Here is a 26,204-nt window from a genome sequence, read left to right as displayed (position 1 = left end):
AAACATGGTGAAAACTCAGTATTAAGAAGCCAAATAAATTGGCTAAGATCCCACAGCTTGTAAGTGATGAAGATAAATTGGACTCTAGTGTCCATCTGAACCTAAATCCCATGCAAGTTCCTGTTTCATAATGCTCTCTAACAATAACTTCCCAGATAATTGACAAGAATAAATACATGCCAGGCTCTACACAATGAGGTTTACACACATTATCTCAATCCTCATAACAGCCTTATGAAGTAACAGATGCCATAATCACCACCTTTTTATTTATTTTTTTTTTAGGTAGAGAAACAGATTCAGAGAGATTAAGTAACTTGGTCATGGTCACACATTCTGGGTGGCATATTAAAGACTCAAATCTAGGTCCACATAACTCCAAAAGTCATGCTTTTAAACCATTAAATGGTCTCCCCAATACAGACTTAAATCCTGGACTATCTATAGTCACACAGTGCCTGCTATGGTTTGAATGTGCCCCCAAATTTCATGTGTTGAAAACTTAATCCCCAAGTTCATATGTTGATGGCATTTAGAGGGGAGGCCTTTGGGAGGTAATTAGGATTAGATGAGGTCATCAAAGTGGGACCCCCCCCATGATGGAATTAGTGACTTTAGAAGGAGAGGAAGAGGAACCTGAGCTAGCACACTTGCCCTGTCTCAACATGTGGTGCCTTCTGCCATGTTATGATGCAGCAAGTAGATCCTCACAGGATGCTATAAGCTCTTGGACTTCCCAGCCTCCAGAACCATGAGCTAAATAAATCTTTCTCTATAAATTACCTAGTCTCAGGCATTATTTTATAGCAACAGAAAACAAACTAAGACAGTATCTATGGACTCAATATTAATATCCTCTTAATGTTCCACAAGCATCTCAAAACTACTAATTTTTCCTGCCTTCCCACATCTTCGCGTCATCCCTCAGAGCTAACTTTTTCTCTATTTTCTCAAATAACTCTGGAATATGCCTTTTACTTCCATTATTGCTGCTACTCATCCCTCAGCCCACCCTGCCTAGATAATAAATTACAAATACTTGCCTATTTGGCCCCCTTACTCCATTCTGTCCCTTATACTAAGCCATCGGACCCCATCAGGTTCACTGCACTAATACATTGCTTTCCCGTGTCATTATCTCAGTCAAAATAATAAAAAGAAAACAAAAACCAACCCCTACTATTGCTGATACCTACAATGAAAAATCCAATCTTCCTAACCAGGTATTTGAGGCCTCTCTCAACCCCAGACTGGTCCAAATCTACATTATTATTTCACATCACAGTCCTATTCCAAGTATCTTTTGCAGCCAAATTGTTTTATTCACTGCCATGCAGACACACTATATTATGCTCATTCCATCCCTATATTGGTGTCCACATTTCCCCCCACCATGAAATACCCACACTCAAATCTCCAGATTATTCCCATCCTTCAAAATTGAAGTCTCATCTCCTCCTGATGCCTTTCTTGACCAAATAAGCCCATACTGACTTCTTTTTCTTGGAAACTCATTTCTCTAGTGTTTACCATAGTAGTTCACAAACATAGCCTTAATTTAGAACTATCTGAAATGTTTTCTTAAAAAATATAACTTCCTGGCTGGGCATGATGGCTCACACCTGTAATCCCAGCACTTTGGGAGGCCAAGGCAGGTGGATTACCTGAGGTCAGGAGCTCGAGACCAGCCTGGCCAACAAGGCGAAACCCCATCTCTAATAAGAATACAAAAAATTAGCCAGGCGTGGTGGCAGGCACCTGTAGTCCCACCTGCTGGGGAGGCTAAGGCAGGAGAATCACTTGAACCCAGGAGGTGGAGGTTGCAGTGTGCCGAGATCACACCACTGTACTCTAGCCTGGGTGACAGAATGAAACTCTGTCTCAAAAAACAAAAATTAAATATATATATTAAATATACATAAAAATTAAATATATAAAAATTATATACATATATATATATATATATATATATATATATATATATATATATATATATATATATATCTTCCTAGGCCCTACCATTGATTTTCTGATTCCATAGAAGCTCTCCAGGTAACCTCAATATACTTGCATTTTTATTTAAAATGTTCACGTGGAGACTTATGGTCTGTCCCTGACTAAGTAGCTGGTATCATATTTAACCCTACTGTCTATTAGCTATTTGAAAGGCATTGGTCAATAACCAAGATAGACCAATGATCCTTGAAAGGGAGAAAGCATACAGTGTAAGTTCCATATTCACCTCAGCTTTCTCCCTGAGGATATTTTCCTAACTGTGGAGCGGAGAAGTAGAAGCCAAGCAGAGGGCAGGAATAGTCTTGATGGATGTAAAAAATGGGTATCAGCGTTCAGGGACTGGTAAGGAGGCTGAGATTTGGGTGACAGGATATTACAGTGGAGGGAGATGCAGAGGAGCTACCTTAAAGTCTTCACTAAAATTTCCCTCAGGTCCTTAGCCAAATCCCAAGCTTTGCATATGCAGGACAAGACTCCAGAAAGTCTAGCAGAGAACAGGTATGAGAGGTGGGGCATATTAAGAGCTAAAAAGAAATTTTAGAGGTCACACAGTGCTGGGGAAATGCTGGGAGTTCTAATTCAAACAGAGTAGAGAGGCTTTCATGAGCTCTCTGGGCATTCATTTGTGACCCCAGAAACACCAAGCTATAGGAATAAGAGCCACATGTTTAGAATAAGGGCTATACACTAGGATTAATAAAAAGATAAAAATATACCTACCATACCAAAGTCTAAACCAAGGCTCAATTAGATCAATATAATCTTTTGTAATTTAATTGTATTCTTGAATAAGACTTTAAGATATTTAGGGAAAGATAAACTATCAAGAGCCTCTACAGTGTATCATCTACAATATCCACTATACAATGTAAATTATAAGATATATAAAGAGACAGAGAAAAATTACTGATAATCAAAACAATAAAATTGTCTATAGAAGATGATCCAGATATGAATTAGCAGACAAGGCTTTCAAAATAACTATGATTGACATCTTAAAAAAATGGGGGGAAGGGACAAAATGGATTAAAAAATGGAATGTTCCAATGGAGAATCATAATCTATAAAAAGAATTGTATGAACATTCTAGAATTGCAGAGTATAATACTGAACTTAAGAATTCACTGGATGAGTGTAATGGCAGAATAGATGCAGCAGCAAGCAGGATGAATGAACTTGAAAACAAATCAATAGAAAACAGCACACTGGGCAGGGTGCAGTGGTTCATGCCTGTAATCCCAGCACTTTGGGAGACCAAGGCAGACAGATCACAAGGTCAGGAGTTTCAGACCAGCCTGGCCAACACAGCAAAACCCTGTCTCTACTAAAAAGACAAAAATATAGCCAGGCGTGGTGGCAGGCGCCTGTAATTCCAGCTACTAGCTACTCGGGAGGCTGAGGTGGGAGAATTGCTTGAAACCAGAAGGCGGAGTTTGCAGCACAAAAAGGGAAAGGGGAAGAGGAAGGGGAAGGGGAAGAGGAAGGGAGAAAGAGAGAGAGAGCAAGAGAGAAAGAGAGGAAGAGAAGAAAAGAAAGAAAGAAAGAGAAAAAGAGAAAAGAGAAAGGAAGGAAGGAAGAAAGAGAAAGAAAGAAAGACGAAAGAAAGGAAAGAAAGAAAGGAAAGAAAGAAAGAAAGAAAGAAAGAAAGAAAGAAAGAAAGAAAGAAAGAAAGAAAGGAAGGAAAGAAAGAAAGAAAACAGCACACTGAAGCACAGAGAGAAAAGCAAATAGAAGCACAGGACACAGCAGAAGAGATGTGGGACATAACTAAAAGATCTAGTACAGTGCCGTCCAATACAACCTTCTGTGATGACTGACATGTTCTATGTCTGTCCTGTCCAGTTGGTTTGCCACTAGGTGCCTTTTGAATATTTGAAATGTGGCAAGTGAAACTGAGAAACTGAGTTTAAAATTTTATTTTTAAGCAGGGTGCAGTGGCTCACGCCTGTAATCCCAGCACTTTGGGAGGCCCAGGCAGGTGGATCATCTGAGGTCAGGAGTTCAAGACCAGCCTGGCCGACATGGCAAAACCCCATCTCTACTAAAAATACAAAAATTAGCCAGGCATGGTGGCGTGCACCTGTAATCCCAGCTACTTGGGAGGTTGAGGCAGGAGAATCACTTGAACCCGGGAGGCAGAGGTTGCAGTGAGCTGGGATCATGCCACTGCACTCCAGCCTGGGCAACAAGAGTGAAACTCTGTCTCAAAAACAAACAAACCAAAAATTTTATTTTTAATTAATTTTTTTATTTGTATAAATTTAAAGGATACAAATGCAATTTTGTTACACGGATAGATTGCATAGTGGTGAAGTCTTGGAGCTTTCAGTGTATCTATCACACCATAATAGTGTATACTATACCCACTAAATTTAATTAGCCAGATGTGGCTACTGACTGTCCTGTTGGGTAGTGTAGTTTTAACACAGGCATACTTAGAGTTCCAGAGGAAAGGAGAGAGAAAATGGGACATGATAGACTCTAAGGATAAGAAGGATATACTACTCCTTCTAGAGTAGTATATTGAACATTGATTCCCTAACATCCAGTTCACCCCAGATCATTTGTTCAAACCAGTCATACTAATTTCACTCCCCTTTTTATTTACATGTTCAGGATTGGGCAAGTCTTAATGAGTATGAACCAACGAAATTGAGGAGAGATTTGCTTAGAGCTTCTGGGAAACAGAAGTCAATGTCTGTGTTTCTCCCTCCTTCTCCTGCTACCCCTATCACTTGGGGAAGAGTGAAGCATGTTGCTCTGTTACAACTGGCAGCTGTCTTAGAACCATGAAGGGAAACAGCCTTGCAAGGAAGTTCTCGGCCAAACAGTGAGATCTCAGCAGAGGAGTGAGATAGAAAGAATCCTGAGTGCCTGAAGATGGGCTCGCACTGATTCATCAATCTTGAAGCTCACATCATTGTCTCTGAATGACTACTTAAAATGTGAAATAATACATTTCCTTGATATTTAAGCAAATTTTACTGTCTTCTGTTTCTTGAAGCCCAAAGCATTCTGATACCAAGAGTCACACCCTCATGATGTTTAGTGTGATTGTTCATTCACTTATTGAGCACTCGTATTCCAGACATTGGGTTAGACACGGGTGATAAAAGATCAAGGCCACGGTCTAGTGAGGGGGACAAACACATTCCATATTCTGTTAATGTTAATAAAATGTGAAAAATACTATAAGAGACGTATACTGTGGGCTGACAGTAGAGGAGCACTTGGTCCAACTTGGCAGAGATAGGGTTAGGGAAAAGCATGGATGGCTTCTGGGTGGCAACACCTGGACAGCACTTGAAAGACAACAGGATTTCATCAGGCAAAGAAGGTGTAGTTTGCAAGGGCATTTTAATCAGAGGAAATAGCTTAAGCAAAGGCCTGGAGGTTTAAAGCAGCAGCATAAAATGAGGGATTGTAAGAAGCCATAGTAGGAGATAGGGAGATACCAGATCACAAAGGGCAAAAGATGCATTGGGGAACCACTGGAGGGGAGTGATAGCTCAGATTTGCTTTTAACTACGAAGTGAGTGTCTAGACTGAGACCCTCCCAGATATACAGGCATTTATCTCATTGCAAAGGGGAGACCAAGCCAGCCTTGATCTCATAGAACAAAAACCAACTAGCACATTGCAGACTTCTCACCAACTGATGGTCTCTGCCTCCGCTTTCTCCTCCATTTTGTTCCCTCTCCCATCTTTTTCACACAAACTATTCAAATGTCTGGGTCAAAGAAGATAAAGATCATAATATGATAATATATGAAAAGTTCTGAGTATAGCATATGATACATAGCAGATCCAGAATGTATGCTAGTCTCTTTCCACTTCCTCTGGGTTCAGACAAGATAAACTGGCAGTCACAACAAGTAGTTGCTGTCTGATTAGAGAAACTAAGACTGCGAAACTTCATGCTAAAATCACACACTGTTCTTGACAGATGAGCTGCAGTTCAGCAGCTGTCTGGAGAAGCACACACTCAATGCTAAGCCTTAAAAGGCCACTCTCCTCGCACTTGCCCTCCTCAAGTTAAGTGATGTAATAAAAAATCTCACCAAGTCATTAATATAAATATTTTCAGACTTTAAATAAGGTGTTTTTGCATTTTATTTCCAGCCTATGAGCCTGGATGCACTTTATTCCCTGCAGCACTGGCAACACACTCATTACCCTCCTGTGGGGAAGGAATGGTCATCCAGGAGCCAGCAAGTCAAGCAGATGAGAAACAGAACTAACCAAGCCAGGAGTCAGCCCAGACAGCCCCGGGATATTGACTCTGAGTGGCCAAATTCCTTCCATTTGAACCACAAATGCTGATAAAATATTTTCAGGAACACAGTGAGGGAATGTACTTCACTCACTTCCCAAAATGTAGACTTGAAGAGGTCAAATCCTATTTAATCCAGGCTGAGAAAATAATGCCCAACTTTATCCCGGAGCTAAATTTAGACATAAACTGAGATCTGGCCCTTGGCAAGTTAATTTAGATGAGCTAATGGTTGTTCCTGGCATAAGGGATACACTCAATAAATGGTAACTATTATTGTTACTGCAAAAATGGAGTGTCTGTTGGATGTTCTCATCTAGTCCTCCCACACATCCTAAAATCGGCTGTGCCAATCACTTGCACATCTGGGAACAAAGCTCCACATGAGGCTAAGGATGAGGCAGCTCTTTCTTTGGGAGCCCCTCTCTGGGAGGAGGCAGGCTTCCCTGTGGGAGCCCTTCTCTTGGGGAGAAGACCACCACCTAGCTATGCTGGTATGTGCTAGGTGGGCCTGACCTTGAGCTTAGGAGGAGGACTAGGCACCCCATTTTGCCCCTTCTCCCCTCTTCCAGCAGCAGCCTCTGCAATGGGGCTCAGACAGGTAAGGGGCCATGCAGGGAGCCAGGCTGGGCACATCCACAAGGAGAAGCTTGGCAGTGTTTCCAGCTTCCAGACCCTACAGGATATACTCTGCAGGGCTTAGGAAGAACTTACTGAATGAAGAGCCCCATCACTCCTCAAGGCTGCCAGAGGACCAAGGTAAATGCCTGTGTTTAGATAGCATCCATTGTCCCTAAAAGTAGGTTAGAGGCCAGGCGTGGTGGCTCATGCCTGTAATCCCAGCACTTTGGGAGGCCAAGGTGGGTGGATCACCTGAGGTTGGTAGTTCAAGACCAGCCTGACCAACATGGAGAAACCCCATCTCTACTAAAAATACAAAATTAGCCAGGTGTGGTGGCACATGCCTGTAATCCCAGTTACTCAGGAGGCTGAGGCAGGAGAATCACTTGAACCCAGGAGGCAGAGGTTGTGGTGAGCCAAGATTGTGCCATTGCACTCAGCCTGGATAACAAGAGCAAAACTCCATCTCAAAAAAAAAAAAAAAAGAAAAATGTAGGGCAGAAATGCAACAACCAGCTAACACATGATAATGTTTTTAGTAACCTTCATAATCACTTCTTTCACTTTTCTGTGCCTTAAAACAAATTAAAATTAAAATTTCATTTAATTATCCATCCTTCTTCCAAAATGTCTTCGGGAATTGTTCCCACTCGTGTCCCACTGCCAATCCTCCTAACACGAAGGCCTTGGTGCTGCCTTTGCCCCCTGACATCCAGCCAGTCACTGGTCTCATTTTCTTCCCTTGAGTGTCTCGAGGGTTTGTCCCTTCCCTTTCTACTTTCACTACCACCTCATCTGTTCCCACTTGGATTAGTATAAAAGGACCAGAACCAGTTTCTTGCCTCCAAATCACTCTTTCCATTGCAAGGTGAAACTTGCTAACACCCCAGTTTTCAACAGTGAGTGCATTAAGGTAGCGTTCCTAGAAACCATTCAGCAGTAGGTGGTGCTCTTGTGTCAGCTCAGTGTTCACAGGTTTTGTTCTATTCTCAAGCAGCCCAGTGAGTACAGACTGTGTCACGGTCAACTATTTATTTGGCACTAAGTATCTCTGGTCAACACAGAGTAATTGAAGACACTGGTCCTAACCTCCAGAAATTTTCAATATAATTGGGGGAATGAGATCTTTGAGCACCTAGCTATAATGCTAGATGGCATGGAACAGGGACAATTTGAGGGGGATGGATAAGGGCTGCAGGAAATGCTCAGAGGGAGAAAGAGCACCTCCAACAGGGCAGAACAGAGAGAGTAGCATCTGAGCTGGACCTTCAGCTGGGGGAGGGTTTTAATAGGCACATATAGTGGAGCAGGCATTCCAAATGGGAGGAGTGTTGGCATGAACAAAGGCATGAAAAGGTGGGAATGTGCAAAGCACAGAAGAGAATGCCCTGAGGGATGGGAGCTGAATGCCCAAGTCCAGTCTCACTCTCCATTCTAGGGCCCTCATGTTTGTACCCCCTCTTGCCACCTCATGACAAGGTCACCTCCCCAGGGAAATCTGGGACAAGCTGGTCAACCCAATCTCTAAAGAGGATGGAGGAAACCAAACCCTCTTTTATCTCTCCACCAGAACGCATATGTTACAGAGTATATCTTCTCACCACATCAGCAGTTGTTCCTATAGCAGGACATTCTTATGCTAGAGAAAGCTTACTAAGGAGAGACTAGAGGTGAACAAACCAAGAGTGGGATTTCAAAGGGGCCATGGGATGGGGGACTGGGGGAAGAACCCTTCTGGGATTCCAGCTAGAGGCAGATTTCCTCCAAGAGATTAATATTCCTTTGCGTGTTTTTTTTCTTTTTTTTATTATACTTTAAGTTCTAGGGTACATGTGCACAATGTGCAGGTTTGATACATAGGTATACATGTGCCATGTTGTTTTACCACAGGTTTCCGACTCTTTACAAGATAAGAGTATGAGGCTTTTGCTCTCCTTGGGAATGACCTCAGGAAGAGCCATGGGATACAGGAATGGGGTTGAACAGTAGATACCCTTGAGTTGGGCTTTTCCCTGAGAAACAGTAACTACTACTGACCTTGGCACCAGAACACTTTAACTCAACATTTTCATACTGGAAAAATCTCTCTGTGCTCACATGTGAGAAGACATCCTCCTGTATTTATATATGAGATGGTGTCTCTCTCTATTCAAGTGAGAGAACATCATTCTCTGGGTGGGCAAACTCTTGGGGTTTCAGATCAACTAACTTGGGCTACAAAAACTAGTGCACCTACACATACAAAATCTCATTCTCACCTGTGCAAGTGGGACCAAAAGCTGCAGACTCCTCCCATTACCCCTCATCCACTTGAAAAACTGGTCCCAGGAAAGCTGCATTAAAGAGTTTAGAGCCCACGTCAAACGAAAATAGGCTGAAAGAACTCACAGAACTTTATCTGGTGAAGAAAACATGAGGAAGGTCCCCAAGCACTGTCCCCAAGTTATGGGAGAGCTGCCCTGCAGGGGAAGGAAGAGAGTAGTTCCCCAATGACCCTGGGAGACAGAGATGGGACTGCAGGGTGTAACTACAGGAGGGTAGATTCTGGCCTGCTGGAAGGAGGACTTTCTAACAACTGGGGCTACAGAACAGTGGAACAGGCTGCCTCACAAAGCTGTGGCTTCCTCAGCCCTGGAAATGCTCAGAAGAATCTGGAAAAATGCACATCTGGAAGGGAGTTCTGCCATGGGTAAGGGATTGGACCTGAATCAAAGACTTTAGGATTCTCAGATGCTCCTGGCAAGACCTGAACCATTTGCCAGAATCCAGTTTTCCTCGTGGTCCACTGGTTATTCCATGGACTTCTGACTCTCTGTTGTGCTCTGACTCCTGGTAACCCACATGGCATGAACACAGACCTCCTGCACTCCTCTCTGTAGAGCCTGTGCTCCAGCCACACCCAACTGCAGACATTCCCAGGATCCAGCCTGCATTTTGAGGCTGCTGTGCCTTTGCTCACACTCTTCCATCTCCCTGCATCCCAAACCCTGGCTAAACATTTCTCCATCTATGCTCCCATAGCACTAATAGACACCGTTGTGAACTTACCTGTGCAATGGCTATTTGTTTGCTGGTGCCCTCTGCTCCAACATGGCCAGGCCTGAATGTAGCTCATCTTCCAATTGCCCATCCCTGGCACAGTACTCGGCACAGTGATTGGCTTATCTTCAGCAAGTGTTCTCTAAGATCCTGCCAGACTGGTTACAGCTTCCATTTCCTTTTCTCCCTGCTAGCAGCTGACCTTGTGTCTAATACCCACTGATGAGGTCCTCCTCAAGATCCCTTCTTGGTTTCTCCAGCCACCAGGTTCCTCACCTCCATGCTCTGCTGCCACAGGCTGCCTACTTTCCACTCTGGCATCTTTGTTGTGGATGGGGCTGTATTCCCCATGCATGCCCCTCAAGAGAGCCTCCCCAGGCATCTATCCACTGCTGATTCCACTCATTTACATGGGCCAGCACAAGTCTATCTCTACAAATCTACCATTTGTTCCATGTGCTGAATGTCTTCAAGGCTCCAGCCATACTGGTAGATTTATGTACATTTTCTTTAACTCATACAATAATCCTAAGGCAGGTATTAAAATCTATATTTTACAGATAAAGAAATCAGTGTTCAGAGGGGGTGAACTGAACACAGTCACTCAGCTACAAGTGGCCCAGCAGGGATTCAAACCCAGGTTTCTCCAGTTTCAAAGCCAGTGCTCTCTCTGTCCCCCACAGGAGGCCTGAACTGTGCATGGGGCTCTTCCTTAACTCTGACCAAGGAAGGAAGCAGGAATGGAAAAGGAAGGCCATTCAACAAGTTCAGAGAGAACAGGTGCACAAAAGGTAAGGACAGGCCTGAGGAGATGCCAGGACAGGGACCAAGAAGGTCACAAGTGGGAAAGGGAGTAGAAGAGGAACAGGGAAAATGGTAGAAGGTAGAAAAAAGGAAGGAAAGCAGGTTCCTCAAAGCAAAATGCCTAGAAAGAAACCTTGGGAAAGCTTCCTACCCCAAACAGAGACTTTGTTTTATAAAGTCTGACAAATTCATCACCCCAGGCAGGATAAGACTTTGGGTCCTGTTTTGGGCTCTAGGGAGTGACCAGAACTGTTTATACCTTGGAAGGAGAGGACAGGAAATAGAAGTGGATACTTTGCCCAGTGATGGGGCATTCCCAAATTACTTTATAATTTATAAAACAAATTATAAAGTAAAATTGGTTTTACTTTATAAACTCTGATTTTCCCTGCACTGCCCTACACTCTCCTCCATCCAAGGCCTAGGGTAAGAGTAGAGACACATAGTCCCAGCAGAAGGCCTGTCACACAGTAGACACTCAATGTCTGTTGATGAATGAGTCAATGAACTTTTCTCAGTTACTGCCCTGCACCACACACACACACACACACACACACACACACCTGAAGTGTCCTTCATTCTTCAAACAGGGTACCAAAACCTTTCCCCTGTTTCCCCTACTGGGGCAGAGCTGACATGTCTCCTTTTTGCTTGGACCACCTCCATGCTTTTTCTCCCATACATACTAAGACACTCACCCCACCTCCACCAGCCCTACCCCACCCAGAAAGCAACAGAGACCTTGATATCTTAACTCACCTGGGTTCTAGCCACTGGAGTGGTGACTCTCTAAACCATCTTTTCCTTACGATGTATCAAGAATTACATTAGTGCTAACTCTGATTTTCCCTGCACTGCCCTACACTATCCTCCATCCAAGGCCTAGGGTAAGAGTAGAGACACATAGCCCCAACAGAAGGCCTGTCACACAGTAGACACTCAATGTCTGTTGACGAATGAGTCAATGAACTTTTCTCAGTTACTGCCCTGCACCACACACACACACACACACACACACACACACATAGTTCATCTCTGATCAGACCTTCTTTTCACAGCTCACCTCAACTGCTGCAGACAGAGTCAGTGTGACAGCCCAGATTCTGGAAAGTACTGTTAACACAGTGTCTTAGTTCTCAGTTCCAAAGAGTCACTAAGGGGTCCACAGTTCTATGGGGTCCATTCATAAGCAGGGGCTGCATAGGCAGACTTTTTACACACAGCAGTTCAGGTCTTGGCACCTTCCACTCTCTTGAGAGAACCGTGGAAGGGAGCCAAGCCTCATGCCTGAGCATTCTTCCCCATCCTTCCTCCATTCTGTTCTCCACACCCACACTCCTCCTGCAGGCGTGCTAATCTCAGGATACAAATGGGGCTGAAAATGCAGGAGAGGGAAGAAAGGAGAGGGAGAAAGGATTTAAGAGGGAGAAAAACAGCTTTGGGAGAAAACACACACATGCAGCCTGTAGAACACGGTGACTTAGATTATTTTTGGAATCTAATGTTTCTAATGTTCAAGGGGAGGAAATGAGAAAAAGTAAGTCGAAATTCCCAGGACCAGCAGGCTGGAAATAATACAGGACACTGTGTTCTGTGTCAGGGGGCGGGATACAGACACACTTCCTTGCCCTGAGCTCCGTCAACAGGAGGTGGAGGGGTTTGGTGGTTAAGGTCTCAGTAGGAGAGGGGAGAGCAGGAACAAGAGGGCACCGGAGCCTTTCTCCAAAAAAAGCAGGAAATTACAACCACCCCGTAAAGGCCTTGCCCTTCTGGCCAACCCGAAGGTCACAGCTCTTTGAAGCCTCCCTCCCAACATGAAGGGCTCAGGCAATTGAACCACACAGAGACATGACACGCCCCTCTGGAGGCCTGTCCAGTGCTTGTCCCTTCACCACAGCACTGGTGAGGACACATGTCAAGTGACCCTTATCCTCCTAGCCCCCAGCCCCTTTAGCCACCGCCTAGGTTCCTGGCACATGCCACCATCTGTCCTGCACGGCAAGGAGCCTCCAAAGAGAGGGTGTAGAGAGTGTGTGTGTGCACGTGTGCACACATGTGTGTGTGCATGCGCACATGTGTGCGTGCGTGTGTTGGGAGAAGAGGGAGGAGCACCAGCTTCAAAGCAGAGGACTCTATCCCAAGCAAACCACTCAAGCACACCAAGTCTCAGCTTTCCCATCTGTGAAATGATGCCCCTATACGTGCCCACCTGGCCTACCACACACAGTACATGGGAGACTTGGATGATGAACCATGGACTGGATGATTTTGGGTGGGTCTCTGCTCTGGGTCAAAGATTACTATGTAAAAGGAAGGGCTGGGCCAGAAAATCTCTAAGGTCATGGGTGTGAAAATACTTTGAACATTCCGAAAAGAATTACATATTGTAATTACTGCAAAGGCACTTCACTTTGACAAATGACAGTGGAATCATGTTACTGCTGCCTCATGGGGAATGGGGGTGTTGGAGGTGTGGGGAAGAGAAGAGACAGTGGGCCAGGGTCCACCAGGGAAGTAGAAGCAGCAGGATTTCTCTACAACAGCCCCACTGGTTCTGGTCACCCCAGGCAGGATAAGACTTTGGGTCCTGTTTTGGGCTCTAGGGAGTGACCAGAACTGTTTATACCTTGGAGGGAGAGGACAGGAAATAGCAGTGGATACTTTGCCCAGTGACGGGGCATCCTGGGGATGTCCTGCAATGCTAATGTGGCCAACAGGACATACCAACCTCAAAACGCAATAAGCACATCACCCTTAGCACAGTGGTCTGCTGCCTACCACGATGCCCAGTGGTGCCCAGTGTAGATTTTCTCATGGTGATTAACATAAAAGCAGCATTATTTTGTTTGCACAGACTTCCAAGAATATTAAAATGCATAAACATTGCCATAGGAAGTATTTCTGGCCCCAAGTTTGCAAGGGAATAAGACAAATATGCTCTTAGCTATACTGCAAAGCAGAAGGTGACAAGTGTCTCAGATGTAGAGGGTGCATGGGGACAGGTGCTCACCTCTCATGGGACACCAGGAAGAATCACTTTTCTCTGGGGCTGCTTCAAGGACAGACCTTGTTTTTCCAGAGAACTTTCCCTGTGGAGGATGTCCCCACCCTGACTCCTCAGGTGTGACCCCAGTGTGACCTATGTGCTCCTCTTTTGTGCCCTGCCCAGGGGCACTGCATAGCCTGGTGACCTGCAGGACCCCCAAGAATCTACACCATAATTTCCAACTTCTCTCAAAAATCAATTCTGAATTTTGTTCCATTAAGGATAATTGAAAATGATTTAGAGCAGGTTCATTTGGAAGAGAGCATCAGTGACACTCTTCATGGTCTCAGCAGGCACCCATGACTGAAGAGTAAATCATAACTGAAATAGTGCAGGGAGAAGGAAGGGAAGCCAATGTTCCTGGAATAGCTATGCTGGGCCAGGCACCATGCCAGGCACTGCTACATACATAACCCCACTCAATTCTCATAACAACCCTGCGAAGAAGTTTGTCTTTTTTTTAAGCAAACAAACAAACAAAACCTCAAGGGAGTAGGGTTTTATTTGCTGAGAGGTTTCTTATTTTTCATAATTACCCAAGGCAACAATCCTGAAAAGAGAAGAACCCACTATAAATATGTAGGGGAGAATGAAAAAGCACAAAAGCAAAAAGTATTATACAATTGTTAAGTTGTAAAAGGGCTTAGATATTTATTTAGTGGAGCAAGTCTCAAAGGAAGAGGAAGGAAGAGAAATGGATTGGGGTTGGGGTGGGGCTTTATTAAACCACTCTGCAGATTCTGGTACATCTCCTCAGAAGTTTATTCTCTGTCATCACCACCTCCAAAGCTACCACCACCATGACCGTGGCCACCCCACTTCTCCTGTTGAAAGATGTTTTCATGAAGAGAGAGTATTGTGCATGAGAACAGTGCAGTGTGGAAGCAGAAGAAAAGTCAAAAGATGCTGAAGTAGAAGTAATATAAATTCTTTATCTTTGTTTTGTCGGTAACACAATTGGGGGTGATAAGTTAAAGATGTGCCTAATGTCTCACAATTGATACGTGTCACCCCAGGACAAATCCTAACCCCACCCACCACAGCTCCATTTCAGCATGGCACCCATGGATGTGAATAGAATTTCACCGTGCAAAAATGAATATGCAGGAAGGCATTTAAAAATTAGGTTTTCCAAGGTGAGCTTTCCTGTAGTGGTAAAGGCAGGGCTAGGCAGCCACGGAGGCCACAGTCTCTGCTGAACACCTAAAAAAAAAATGAGAGATTCTCATTTGGGCTAGATGTCTTGGTCATGGGGGAGGTAGGCACCAAAATATCCTCTCAAGCAGGGTGATAAGGATATTGTCTTGGGTGTTTCCCAACCATGCATTTACACATTAAACAAATACAATGTGCTGCATAAACCAATAATAGGCATGATTTCAATACTGGAAGCCCCATTAGCCAGCTTTGTTCACTCTTTTGGGGATTCTCCCAAAGTGCGAATATCTTCTCCTTTCCAGAATAGCTTTGGGCAAGGCTAAAAAATGGGCCTCCTGGGTAGACATCAGTAGAGCTTCCTTTATTCAGAAATGAAGTAGATAAAGATTTCTCAATCAGTTAAGTCTAGTTATGCACCGGAACTCTTCGAAGCTCTGCTCCTTCCCTGAAAAGACTGGAAGACTGAGGGCCTTCCCCACATCAGAAGGCAGATGGGAGTTTCGATATTTTCTGATACTTATCATTGGCATCAGCACATTGACATCACGAGGTCATAATGACTGTCATCAGATGGCAAGGCTGGGATTTCTACGGTGTGTGGGAGGTAGACGTGTGGACTTCACGGCTGCTTCTAGTTCTAGCATTAGAAGATGTGCCCTAGGCACCCAGGAAGGGGTGTGTCGGGGGAGGATCTTCCACTGAGTAGCACTCACCCTTCCATTTTCCAAAGGCACATCTACAATGAGTCTACTTAATGACCTTTAAGACCACATATGGCCCCCAGTGGGGAAGAGGCCCATCCCTTCTCTTCAGTAATAGGTTGTGTTTGCAGGGCAGACACCTTCATCACACAGGGTCTACCACAACTGGAGGGGTGGCCAGATGTGAAACATGGCTGCACAGAGAGCCTTAATCTGCACCAGGCCAATGAGTGGTGACCTGGCTTGTGTTCTGCGAATACAGTGGAGGACAGGCCCATTAGTTATAGACCAGAGGGCGCCCGGCTGAGACTGCAGTGGTTCATCTAACATCATGCATTGTTTGAATCATCTCTGAATTACTCTGTGTTTCCACAGATTGCTCATTAAGACTTTCCTGTCATTCCTGAGCAGCAGTGTTCCCTCTTCTCTGAACATTCTCCAAGCACAGAGGCTGTGCCTAGGACAGTACAGCATGCACAGAAAGCATTTAATAAGTAAGAGTTTATGCAAAGGGAAACAAAAAAACTTTTGGAGGTATGGCTATGTCTATTACCTTGATGGTTTTATAGGTGTATACGTATGTCCAAACTTATCAGATCATATATGTTAAATATGTGCCACTTATTGTTTATCAATTATACCTCAATAAACCTGCTTTTAAAAATAAAAAAAAGTGAATACACAGGAGCTTATGTGCTCACTTGCTTAATTAGATGGTGAGCTGCTCCAGACAGAACTTCTGGCCTACCCACCCTTTTGGTGGCTCACGACAGCTGTTCAACATTGATTATTAAATGAATGAGTGACTTGCTTTATGAATTATCTGTGGAACAGAGGCCCTACTCCCTAGATACTTAATTGGGAGAGAGCACGGCCCACTCCCCAGCACCTCCAAGATGGGGAATGTGGGGGCTCACCACAGGTGTCAGGGGAATAAGTGAGAGGCAGCTTCACTCCCCAAGGCCAGCTGGTAAATGGGGAACACCAACCCATTTTCAAGCCCTTGGGAACAAGCTGTCACCCTGCAAGGCCAGGGGCGAGACTGCGCCCACCTCTTTTACAAAAATAGAGGCTGAACTATCACCAGACTCCTCTGATTGCCAAGAGCTTCCCAGATCTGGAATTAGAGGCCTCCGCCAACCAGCCTCCCACCAGAAGGGAGACTAAGACTTGGCTCAGGCAGTAACTACTTCCTCAAGCCCTTGTTTAGATGTGGATCCACACTCACAGCCCTTATTCCAAACCATCACCCTCTTCACCCCCTTCCAAAGCCACCAAATAAGTCAAAGGCTGAGGCACTTAGCTCCGCGCAGATATTTTAAATTAATCTTAAAGCAACTTAAAAGGACTGTTTTTCTACCCTGTCCAGCACTCAGCACATTTTCAGTGGCAGCTGGGTCAAGCTTGAGTGGCATTTTCACCACTGACTCAACCTCAAAATATTCCTGGGCTGCCCTCGTCCCACCCTTCTTTTTGCTCCCTTGTTTTGAATATTCTCTCCCTCTCTCCCCACCCCTCTACTCACATGCACATGCATGAACATACACACGTGCACATTCGCCCACTCCCCCACACTCCTTTTTAAGGTATGAGCACATCACACAACAGACATTCTAAACCTTGGGTTCATGGATAGAATTCAGGGATCATATATTTGGATAGGGAAAAAAATCACGTCTTTATTTTCACTAACCTCTAACTGAAATATAGCATTCTCTTCCATTATGAACACAGTCAACAAACTGCATTAGTGTGTGTCTCTGACTCCAATAGAAACACACACATTTTCATATCACATCAGGGCTGTTGTCCTGAAACATCATTTATTTACATTCATCACTACTTCAGGATTATGGTAGTTATTAGACTTCAAGTAGATCTTATTAGTATGTTAATTAAAAATACATATAGTGCTGCTATTTTTAAAACGTAATAACTATTTCCTTATTTTATTTTTAACGTTTAATTTAGATTCAAGGGATACATATGCAGGTTTATTACTTGGGTATAATCCTATTACCCAGGTATGGGTATAGTACCCAATAGTTAGTTTTTCAACCCTTAGCCCCCTCTCTCTTTACTGCCTCCAGTAGTCCCCAGTTGCTATGTTGCCATCCTTAAGTCCATGAGTATCCAATGATTACCTCCCACTTATAAGTCGGAACCTGTGGTATTTGGTTTTCTGTTCCTGCAAATAACCGTGTTTAAGTAATTGTTTTCCAAGCCTATGTATATTTTTTGTACATTTACAAATGTTATTCTGAGAAGGGGTCCATATGCTTCACCAGACCAAAAGAGTCCATGGCACAGAAAGAGCCCCTGCTGTGGAATGAGCATTAAAATGTAGGATTTGGGATTTTTCTCTAGGGCCATCAAGGCATGCGCCAGGAGACCTAGGGGCTAACAGGTGGTGTTCAGTGGTAGCAGAAGGCAAGCTCTGGGAGCAGAGGGACAGCAGGGTTATTGGATAAGAGCTTGGATGGGCTTTGGAGACAGATTAAAACACTGGCCCTGGCTAACCAACAGTATGACCTTGGGCCAGCCACTTCACCTCTCTGAGTTTCCATTTCTTCAACTGTAAAGTAGTAATTATCAATGTACTATACAATTCTTATGAACATGGATTGAGAGCATATAGGTGTAACAGCAATTACTGCCCTGTTGAATGGAACTTGGCAGGCCCTAGAAAGGCAGCCTCCTTGACCTGGGAACTTCTGGAGCTATGGTATGCCGTTTACTTGGTTTTTCAGACAGGCACTATCTGTGCCCTATGCAGGCTTCCCATGTCCTTGAGCCTGAGGGATACCATGAAGTGCCCCAAACTCTAAAACATACCTAGGCAGACCTAAGTCTCCCACCTCCCTTTCTGTCCCTTGCTCACTGAAACAGGCACCCAGGCCAGGCTGCAAAGCAGATTCCCTGCCCCAGAGCAAAACAGGCCTCAAGAAAAAAGAGATGTTCCAGATCTTTCCAAAACTGGCAACAGGGCCGGGCACGGTGGCTCACGCCTGTAATCTCAGCACTTTGGGAGGCCAAGGTGAGTGGATCACGAGGTCAGGAGATCGAGACCATCCTGGCTAACACGGTGAAACCCCGTCTCTACTAAAAAAATACAAAAAATTAGCCAGGCATGGTGGCAGGCACCTGTAATCCCAGCTACTCAGGAGGCTGAGGCAGGAGAATGGCGTGAACCCGGGAGGTGGAGCTTGCAGTGAGCTGAGATGGTGCCACTGCACTTCAGCATGGGCGACAGAGCGAGACTCCGTCTCAAAAAAAAAAAAAAAAAAAAAAACAAAACAAAAAAATAAACAAAGAAAACAAAACTGGCAACAGAGCCAAAGTACCTGATTCTGGCTTCACAGAACAGCTGGCTCCTGCCTTGGCATCTAATCACTCGGTGAGCAATGCAGGAATTCTGAGGTCTAAGCTGCCCTTCTCAGGGCAGGTCAGGCCAGGGTCAGACCCAGGCTTCCAGGCCACTGGGCAAAGAGCCCCAAGAAAGGTCAGAAGTTCCCAAACCTTGCTTAAATCATATTCAAAAGGTATATAAAAAGTGATATGCTATAAAAAGTGATATGCATTAAAAAAACTGCATATACTAATTTTTTTACTATATGTTATAAAAAATTAGAAAACATTATAAAATTATACAGAGAAATTAAAATCAACCATAAGCCTGCCCCAAGGAAGCAAAACTATTAATATTCTGATAAATTTTCTTGCAGTTATATTTAATACATAAATTGGGATCACACTTATACAGAGAGCTGAAGATCTCGATTTCATCATTTAAAAATACCTAGAGACATTTTTCAATATGAGCTCTTAAAAGACAGAAAACCATGATATCAGACATTGTAAAATTCACAGGTTACTGAGAGATGTCATGGCATCCCTAAGAACAGTATTGGCCATTTAAATATAAGTTATATCCAGAAAACTCATAGGAAGAGAGCCTATTTTATTCTTCTTAAAGCACATATAATAGTAAACTCTTCTTTCTTCTCTTTAGCTTAAAGAGAATCTAGGAAAGATACCTTTGTATCCTCAGCAAAGAGGCACTATATGCAATTTTCCTTTTTTACATTCTCTTATCTTACTTTTCCCTGATAAGGGGAAAGCTTTGAAAATTCACTGCTGGAAAAAATGGTGTCTTACTCAAGAAAGTGCTTAGCAGCTGAAGAGAAACCTTTGGAAACAAGTGGGTATGGCAGGAAGAGCCCTGGACTTAGAAACAGAAAAATGCTGGATTCAGATGTCAGCTCTGTCACTGTAGACCCAAGATCAAAGAACATCCGTTTCCCTGCATGTCAAGAGAGATGCCACCACTCAACCCATAAGGATCAAAGGATTATGCAGATTAAATAAGACTGTGTGAAAGTGGTTTGTCAATGGTAAAATACATTGCAGGGCCATAATCACTAATTAATATTATAGTGGCTGTTAACAGTACTGTTTTTGTTCCTTAGCTGGCTTGAGCCACTCATTGCAGGCACTCGGGGCAGCTTCTAACAGTAGGTAAAAGCAGGGACCCTGGAGCCAGACTGCACTTCCCAGCTTGGTGAATTCTTTAACCTTTCAGTTTCTTCATCTGTAAAATGTGATTATAATAGTACATCTACCTCTCAGGACTCTTGAAAGGATTAAAATGAGTAAATTTACACACAGTGCTTAGAACAATACTGGGCACATAATACACACTATATAAGGGTGAGCTTAAAAAAATTACATTAGCTAAAACTAGTAGGCACACTGTTTTAAAGCTTTCCAGGAAAGTACTATCATTAATCAGAAAGTTGGATGAGCAACCTCTGCTCCCTCACCCCCATCCCGGCTCAGGTTTGGCCTGTTCCCTTCCTACCTTCTCAGCATCCTGCTCGAAGAGCCGCAGCTGAAAGCACTGGTCCAGCTTGAGCTTGCGCACATGCCACATCTGGTGCAGGTGCTGCCGGGTGGAGTGCAGCTTGTCCAGGAGACTGGTGATCTTGGGCACCAGGCTCTGGAAGTCAGCACTGCCCGGGATGCAGTTGCGTCCTGAGAAGCCGTCGCTGCAGCGGATGCACTGCAGCAGCCGCTGCCCCTCCCGGTCCAGCTCCTCCACAGGGGCCTTCAGCACCTTTTTCTTGAGCTGTGTGTGTTCGTCAATGAGCCGCCGAGAGCCCTCCACATCCACAGGAAACTCCTTCCGGGCTAGCATCTCCTGGAGGTCCTCGAGGCGCGAGAGCAGGTGCACGGCGCTGTTGAAGAACTCCTCCAGGGAGAGCCGCAGTTCGATCCACTCCTCATGGTTGTAGTCCAGGGAGCCATCAAACTCCTCCGTCAGCTGGGAGGGGTCCACCAGCTTTGTGAGGCCCTCCACAGATACCATGCTCGTCTGGAAGGGGCAGACACAGACAAGGATACTCAGTGATGTCAGGGGAAGAACAGGGCAGAAATAGGATGAGGGAAAGGACAAGATAAATCCACATAATAATGACCACAGCCTGCCTCGGAAATGGTGAGTGGAGGCCATGGGACTCACTGGTCAGGAGTCACAGATCAGTCAGGATCAGCAGTTTCTACAGACTGCTGACTGCTTTAGCAAGCCTCTACAACTGCCAGCCATTTACCACCCCAGAAGAACTGCTTTTGTGTCCCTCCTCTCCTCATTTTCCCTCCTCCTGACCCCAGTTCACTTCAAAAGGGCTTCAGAGGCTAGAAGCAGAAGCTGGAAGAAAAACTGACCTAGTTTCTGGGGGACAGTTTTCCACAGCTTTAAAACCAAGGCCCGTGGACCCAGGGTATCATCATAGTTGGATTAAGCAACATGGGCCAGTGCTTGGGCTGCAAAGATTTCACAGTCTTATCTTTTCCAAGGCTCTCCCTTTTAGCTCTTCTGTGGTATGGTGAACAGAACTAGGGATGGGCAACAGGGGAGTCTGCGCCCTTGGTTTTCTCTGTGAGGCCCCTACAAGCTCCTGGAGAGCGGACTGGAGAATGTTTGTCTCCAGGAAGGAAAGTGTCTCCAGCAAATGATGATGCAGGCAACCACCTTAGTTTATTAGTAAACATCTTTTCCTTCCTATAGGGCTTTAGGCTTCTCTTCTTTCTCATGAAGAATGAGAGGCTAGCAAATTAATATCTGTGTTTGGGTCCCAGCCCTATGCTTATTAACTGTGTGACCCAGGGCAAGCTATTAAGGTCTCAGAGCCTCAGTCTCCTCCTCTGTGTAATGGAGATAATTATTCCTTCCTCATGGGGCTTGCAGAGATTAAATGTATCAATGTGTGTAAAGCACATAGGGTGCATAGCATGGAGTACATGCTCAATCCCTGTTAGTGCTCACTCTGATGATCTGAAGGCTGCATCATTACTCAAAACCTGAAAAGCAATTTATCTCTCTGTGTCTTGCCACTCTCTGAGCATCCCCTCTTTGTTCCTTCTCTTTCCACCCCTCTCCTAAGAGGAAGGAAGGAGGTGCCATAGGCAGGAGGACTGGTCTGGAACAATGGTTGTCAAACTTGACTGCTCATTAGAATCCTTTGGGGAGTGTGCAAAAATACCAATGCTCAAACCTCATCCCTAGAAATTCTGATTTAATTGGCTAAATGGGAGCTTGGACATCAGTAGGTTTAAGAGTCCCTCAGATGATTCTAATGTGCAAGTAGAGTTGCAAACTCCTGCTAATCTCCATCCTTGCTACTCAAAGCATAGCTCTCAGACCAGCAGTATTGGCATCACATGGGAGCTTGTTAGAAATGCAGAATCTTAGGCCTTACCCCAGACCTATTGAGGCAGAATCTGCATTTTCAAAATCCCCAGGAGATTTGTGTGCATTAAACTTGAGAAACCCTATTCCAAAGTACTTTCTCCTTCAAATTTGGCTCAAAGTTTACCACTTCCGGGAAGTCCTCCATCATTATACTTACCAATTATTATATATCTGTTGTATAAGTATCTGTTGTTGAACAAGCTTATACTCTCATCTCTGTATCACTTGTCACCCCAGTCTGCACTAAGTATTAAATTCACTGTTTTTAAGATACTGCCTTATAAATATTCCTTTGATTGGGAGGCCCCCAGCTATCTCTCCTATCCTCTTATTTAGGAGGCAGAGACAAGCTTGTTCAACTTAGAGTGAAAGAGGTACAGAGAGATGGGACATGCAGGCCAGCAATGCTGAAGCAGAAGTATCAAGACTTACTGAAAAGATGCTTTTCAGTCTCTTCAGCTTATACATCTATAGGCTTGTTGTCACCACCTCTGTATAAACAAGCCAAAATATAGAAAGCATTTCCCTGCAGGACTTCTAGTGTTCTGGAGGGGTGCCAGGAGACTATAATAGGTCACTGTTTTTATACCAAGCCAAATTTCTTGTATTGTTTACACAGAGTGAGAATCGCCTGCATCAAGTGTCAGGTCATTGTGCTCAAATCACAGCCTATTTGACACCACACACAGGCGCTCCTGGCCCCCAGGGCACAAAAGTCTGGAATGGGAAGCTGCTGAAAGATTAAAAGCAGCTCTGTGTTTTCAACACACACACATTTAAAAGTTCATCCCCTTGCAGATGAGGACTAGAATTCTGAGGAAGGGAACAGTTTATATTTGGCTGGAATACAGACGCTTAAATCATTGATTTAATCTGATGTATTGTCATTGAAAATTCTCAGGGGAAACATATACCCTCCAGAAAATTTAGTTTAAAAACATGTTTTCCTTGATTATGAAAGTAATACATCATCCTTGAAAAAAATAAAAACATATGAAGTAAATAAAAACCATCCACTATCCAGTCACGTAGAATAAACCATCACTAACATCTTCAATCTCAGTTTTCTTCTCCATACATGCACTTTAAAAACAAATCTCAGATTATAGTGTCCATATTGTTTTATCACCTGCATTTTACTAAACAATAAATATTTTAATACTATTTTTTCTAAATATGGCTTTTCCTGGCTTCATCGTATTTGGGTTGCTTGTTTTGTTTTTTTGTTTGTTTGTTTATTTTGTTTTGTTTTTTGAGGAGTTTCGCTCTGTCACCCAGGCTGGAATGCAATAGTACGATCTCAGCTCACTGCAACCTCCGCCTCCCGGGTTCAAGTGATTCTCCTGCCTCAGCCTCTTGAGTAGCTTGGATTACAGGCACACGCCACCACGCCCGGCTAATTTTGTATTTTTAGTAGAGACAGGGTTTCACCATGTTGGCCAGGCTGGTCTTGAACTCCTGACCTCAAGTGATCCACCCTCCTCAGCCTCCCAAAGTGTTGGGATTACAGTACAGGCGTGAATCACCACGCCCAGCCAGTATTTGTGGATTAATGTCACCAACAGTCATGGCTAGCAAGGATACAACCTATATATGTGTATGTATATGCACTATATATGTATAAATATTTATGCACATGTGTATATATACTATTGTATAGGAACATGTGAGCTGTGATGAACATTCTTGTAGACATTTCTTGTTTGCAATTTTACCTGGCTTTTTACCTTCTTGTTTGTTGAGATTTCATATTAAGAATATTTTCTTAAATTAGGCTGGGCACAGTGGCTCATGCCTGTAATCCCAGCATTTTGGGAGGCTGAGGTGGGCAGATGACCTGAGGTAAGGAGTTTGAGACCAGCCAGGCCAACATGATGAAACCCTATCTCTACTAAAAACACAAAAATTAGCTAGGCATGGTGGCAGGTGCCTGTAGTCCCAGCTGCTCAGGAGGCTGAGGCAGGAGAATCACTTGAACCCAGGAGGCAGAGGTTGCAGTGAGCCGAGATCATCACTGCACTCCAGCCTGGGTAACAGAGTGAGACTCTATCTCAAAAAAAAAAAAAAGAATATTTTCTTAAATTAGTTACTAGATACAGAAATACAGTCAAATAGAAGGAATAAGTTCTAGTATTCAATAGCACAGTAGAGGAATTATAGTTAACAATCATTTATGGTATATTTCAAAAGCTAGAAGAGAACTGTAATGTTTCTAGCACAAAGAAATGATAAATGTTTGAGGTGATGGATATCCCATTTACTCTGATTTGATCGTTATATACTGTATACAGGCATCAAAATGTCACATGTACCCAAAAATATGTACAACTATGATACAGCAATAAAAAAAGAATTGCTACATCAATGGATATAAACTCTTCCTAAGGTTTTTGTTACAAATTGCAAAGCTGCCTCCACAAACAGTTGTCCCAGTTAACACAACCACCAACAGTAAATAAGACTGTCTAATGAAGGTGTGCATTTGGGACAATCTCGTGAGCCTCTTGTTCCTCCCCATACTCTAACTGGTAAGGCCATGGCGGCCAAGGAATCCTGAAATCTCAGCCCTTGAGGTGTCACATACTGTATGGTAGATAGAGAAGAGGACGTGAGAAATGTGTGGATGGCAGAAGGGGAAGGGAAAGAAGATGCTAAGAGAGAGAAATCTGGCTCACCTCAAAGATGAATTTGGAGCTGCCAAAGTTGGTCTTCTGTTTCTGCCAGAAGTTGTCGGGTTTAATGATGAGGGCCACATGGATCTCAGCTGGAAAGGCTTCCTGCAGCGTTTTGAGGAGGGGCTTGATGAGGTCCCACTTGGAGCCCCGCATGTCGATGATGACAGTGAAGCCACGTTTGCACACGTCCTCACTGTGGGGAGGTCAGAGGTCGGTATGGTCACTCTGGGTAGCTGAGACTTTGGAGTACACAGTCAAAAAGCACCCGGAAACCTGCACTCCCCTTGACCAGAATCACTCTTTCAACTTCATGCCAGGTCTCTTGGCCACCTTCAAACTCAGCTCAAACTGTACTGCCTTAGAAAACCCTTTCTACATCTGACCAATGGTCCTGGCATTCTGCCTTCTCCCAGCACTTGGCAAATAACTTGGCCTTTCTTACGCAGGTTGAGTATCCCTAATCTGAAAATCCAAAATCTGAAGTGCTCCAAAACTTGAAACTTTAAGAGGGTCAACATGATGCTCAAAGGAAATGATTGTTGCAGCATTTCGGAGTTTGGATTTTCGGATTAGAGATACTCACCCGGCAAGTAGAATGCAAACATTCCCCTCCACCGCAAAAAAAAAAAAAAAATCCAAAGTCCAAAACATTTCTGGTTCCAAGCATTTTGGATAGGAGCTACCCAACCTGTAGTCAACTGTACTTGTTGGGATGTTTACAATTTGGATATTCACAATTGTATTTGATTTTTATTTTAATGTTTGTCTCCCTTTCTTGTTCCTAAAATGAATCATGTTTTCCCCATTGAAATTCCAGTTCTCTAAAGACAGAGACCCTGTTGCCTCTTAAACCTGAGATGGAAAGTCCTTGACAGGGGTGTTGTTCTGCCCTGTGCTCACATCAGTGACAGGCACTGGTACATCTTGCCACTAAGCCCAAACTGGGCCAAAGAATACTTTTTCAAAAAAAGGCTCTATGTTGATTCTGCCAGTTGATGAGAGATGGTACACAAAGTATGAATAACATGTATTTATCACCATTGTATTTAAGATGTATTACTTGTAGTTTATTATTATTTCTTTTTACTTTTTTTTTTTTTAAAGAGTCAGGGTCTCGCTA

The 26,204-nt window shown here is 43.9% G+C and overlaps 1 protein-coding gene across 32 annotated transcripts in view, besides 2 other annotated features; it reads right to left on the bottom strand.

Moving 5' to 3' along the window:
- Window positions 1-26,204, bottom strand: part of KALRN (kalirin RhoGEF kinase) — a 692,957-nt gene that overhangs the window by 436,551 nt on the left and 230,202 nt on the right. For all 32 annotated transcript variants that reach the window (XM_006713810.4, XM_017007429.2, XM_011513279.3 and 29 more), the window contains exons 4-5: window positions 25,085-25,277; window positions 20,520-21,032 (exon numbers count right to left, since the gene is read on the bottom strand). In XM_006713810.4, coding sequence (XP_006713873.1) covers window positions 20,520-21,032; window positions 25,085-25,277 — 706 coding nt within the window. The remainder of the gene's footprint in view (window positions 1-20,519; window positions 21,033-25,084; window positions 25,278-26,204) is intronic.
- Window positions 19,731-20,501: an enhancer, noted in NCBI's record as "NANOG-H3K4me1 hESC enhancer chr3:123988121-123988891 (GRCh37/hg19 assembly coordinates)". NCBI's record gives its function as "activates a minimal SCP1, AML or CMV promoter by ChIP-STARR-seq in naive H9 embryonic stem cells {active_cell/tissue: H9 hESC(naive)}" and the evidence as "EXISTENCE:reporter gene assay evidence [ECO:0000049][PMID:30033119]".
- Window positions 22,813-23,336: an enhancer, noted in NCBI's record as "NANOG hESC enhancer chr3:123985286-123985809 (GRCh37/hg19 assembly coordinates)". NCBI's record gives its function as "activates a minimal SCP1, AML or CMV promoter by ChIP-STARR-seq in primed H9 embryonic stem cells {active_cell/tissue: H9 hESC(primed)}" and the evidence as "EXISTENCE:reporter gene assay evidence [ECO:0000049][PMID:30033119]".

The sequence above is a fragment of the Homo sapiens genome, chromosome 3, assembly GCF_000001405.40.
Source record: "Homo sapiens chromosome 3, GRCh38.p14 Primary Assembly".
NCBI lineage: Eukaryota > Metazoa > Chordata > Mammalia > Primates > Hominidae > Homo > Homo sapiens.
Note: the sequence above shows the minus strand (reverse complement) of the source record. Positions and strands in the feature narration are given on the sequence as shown.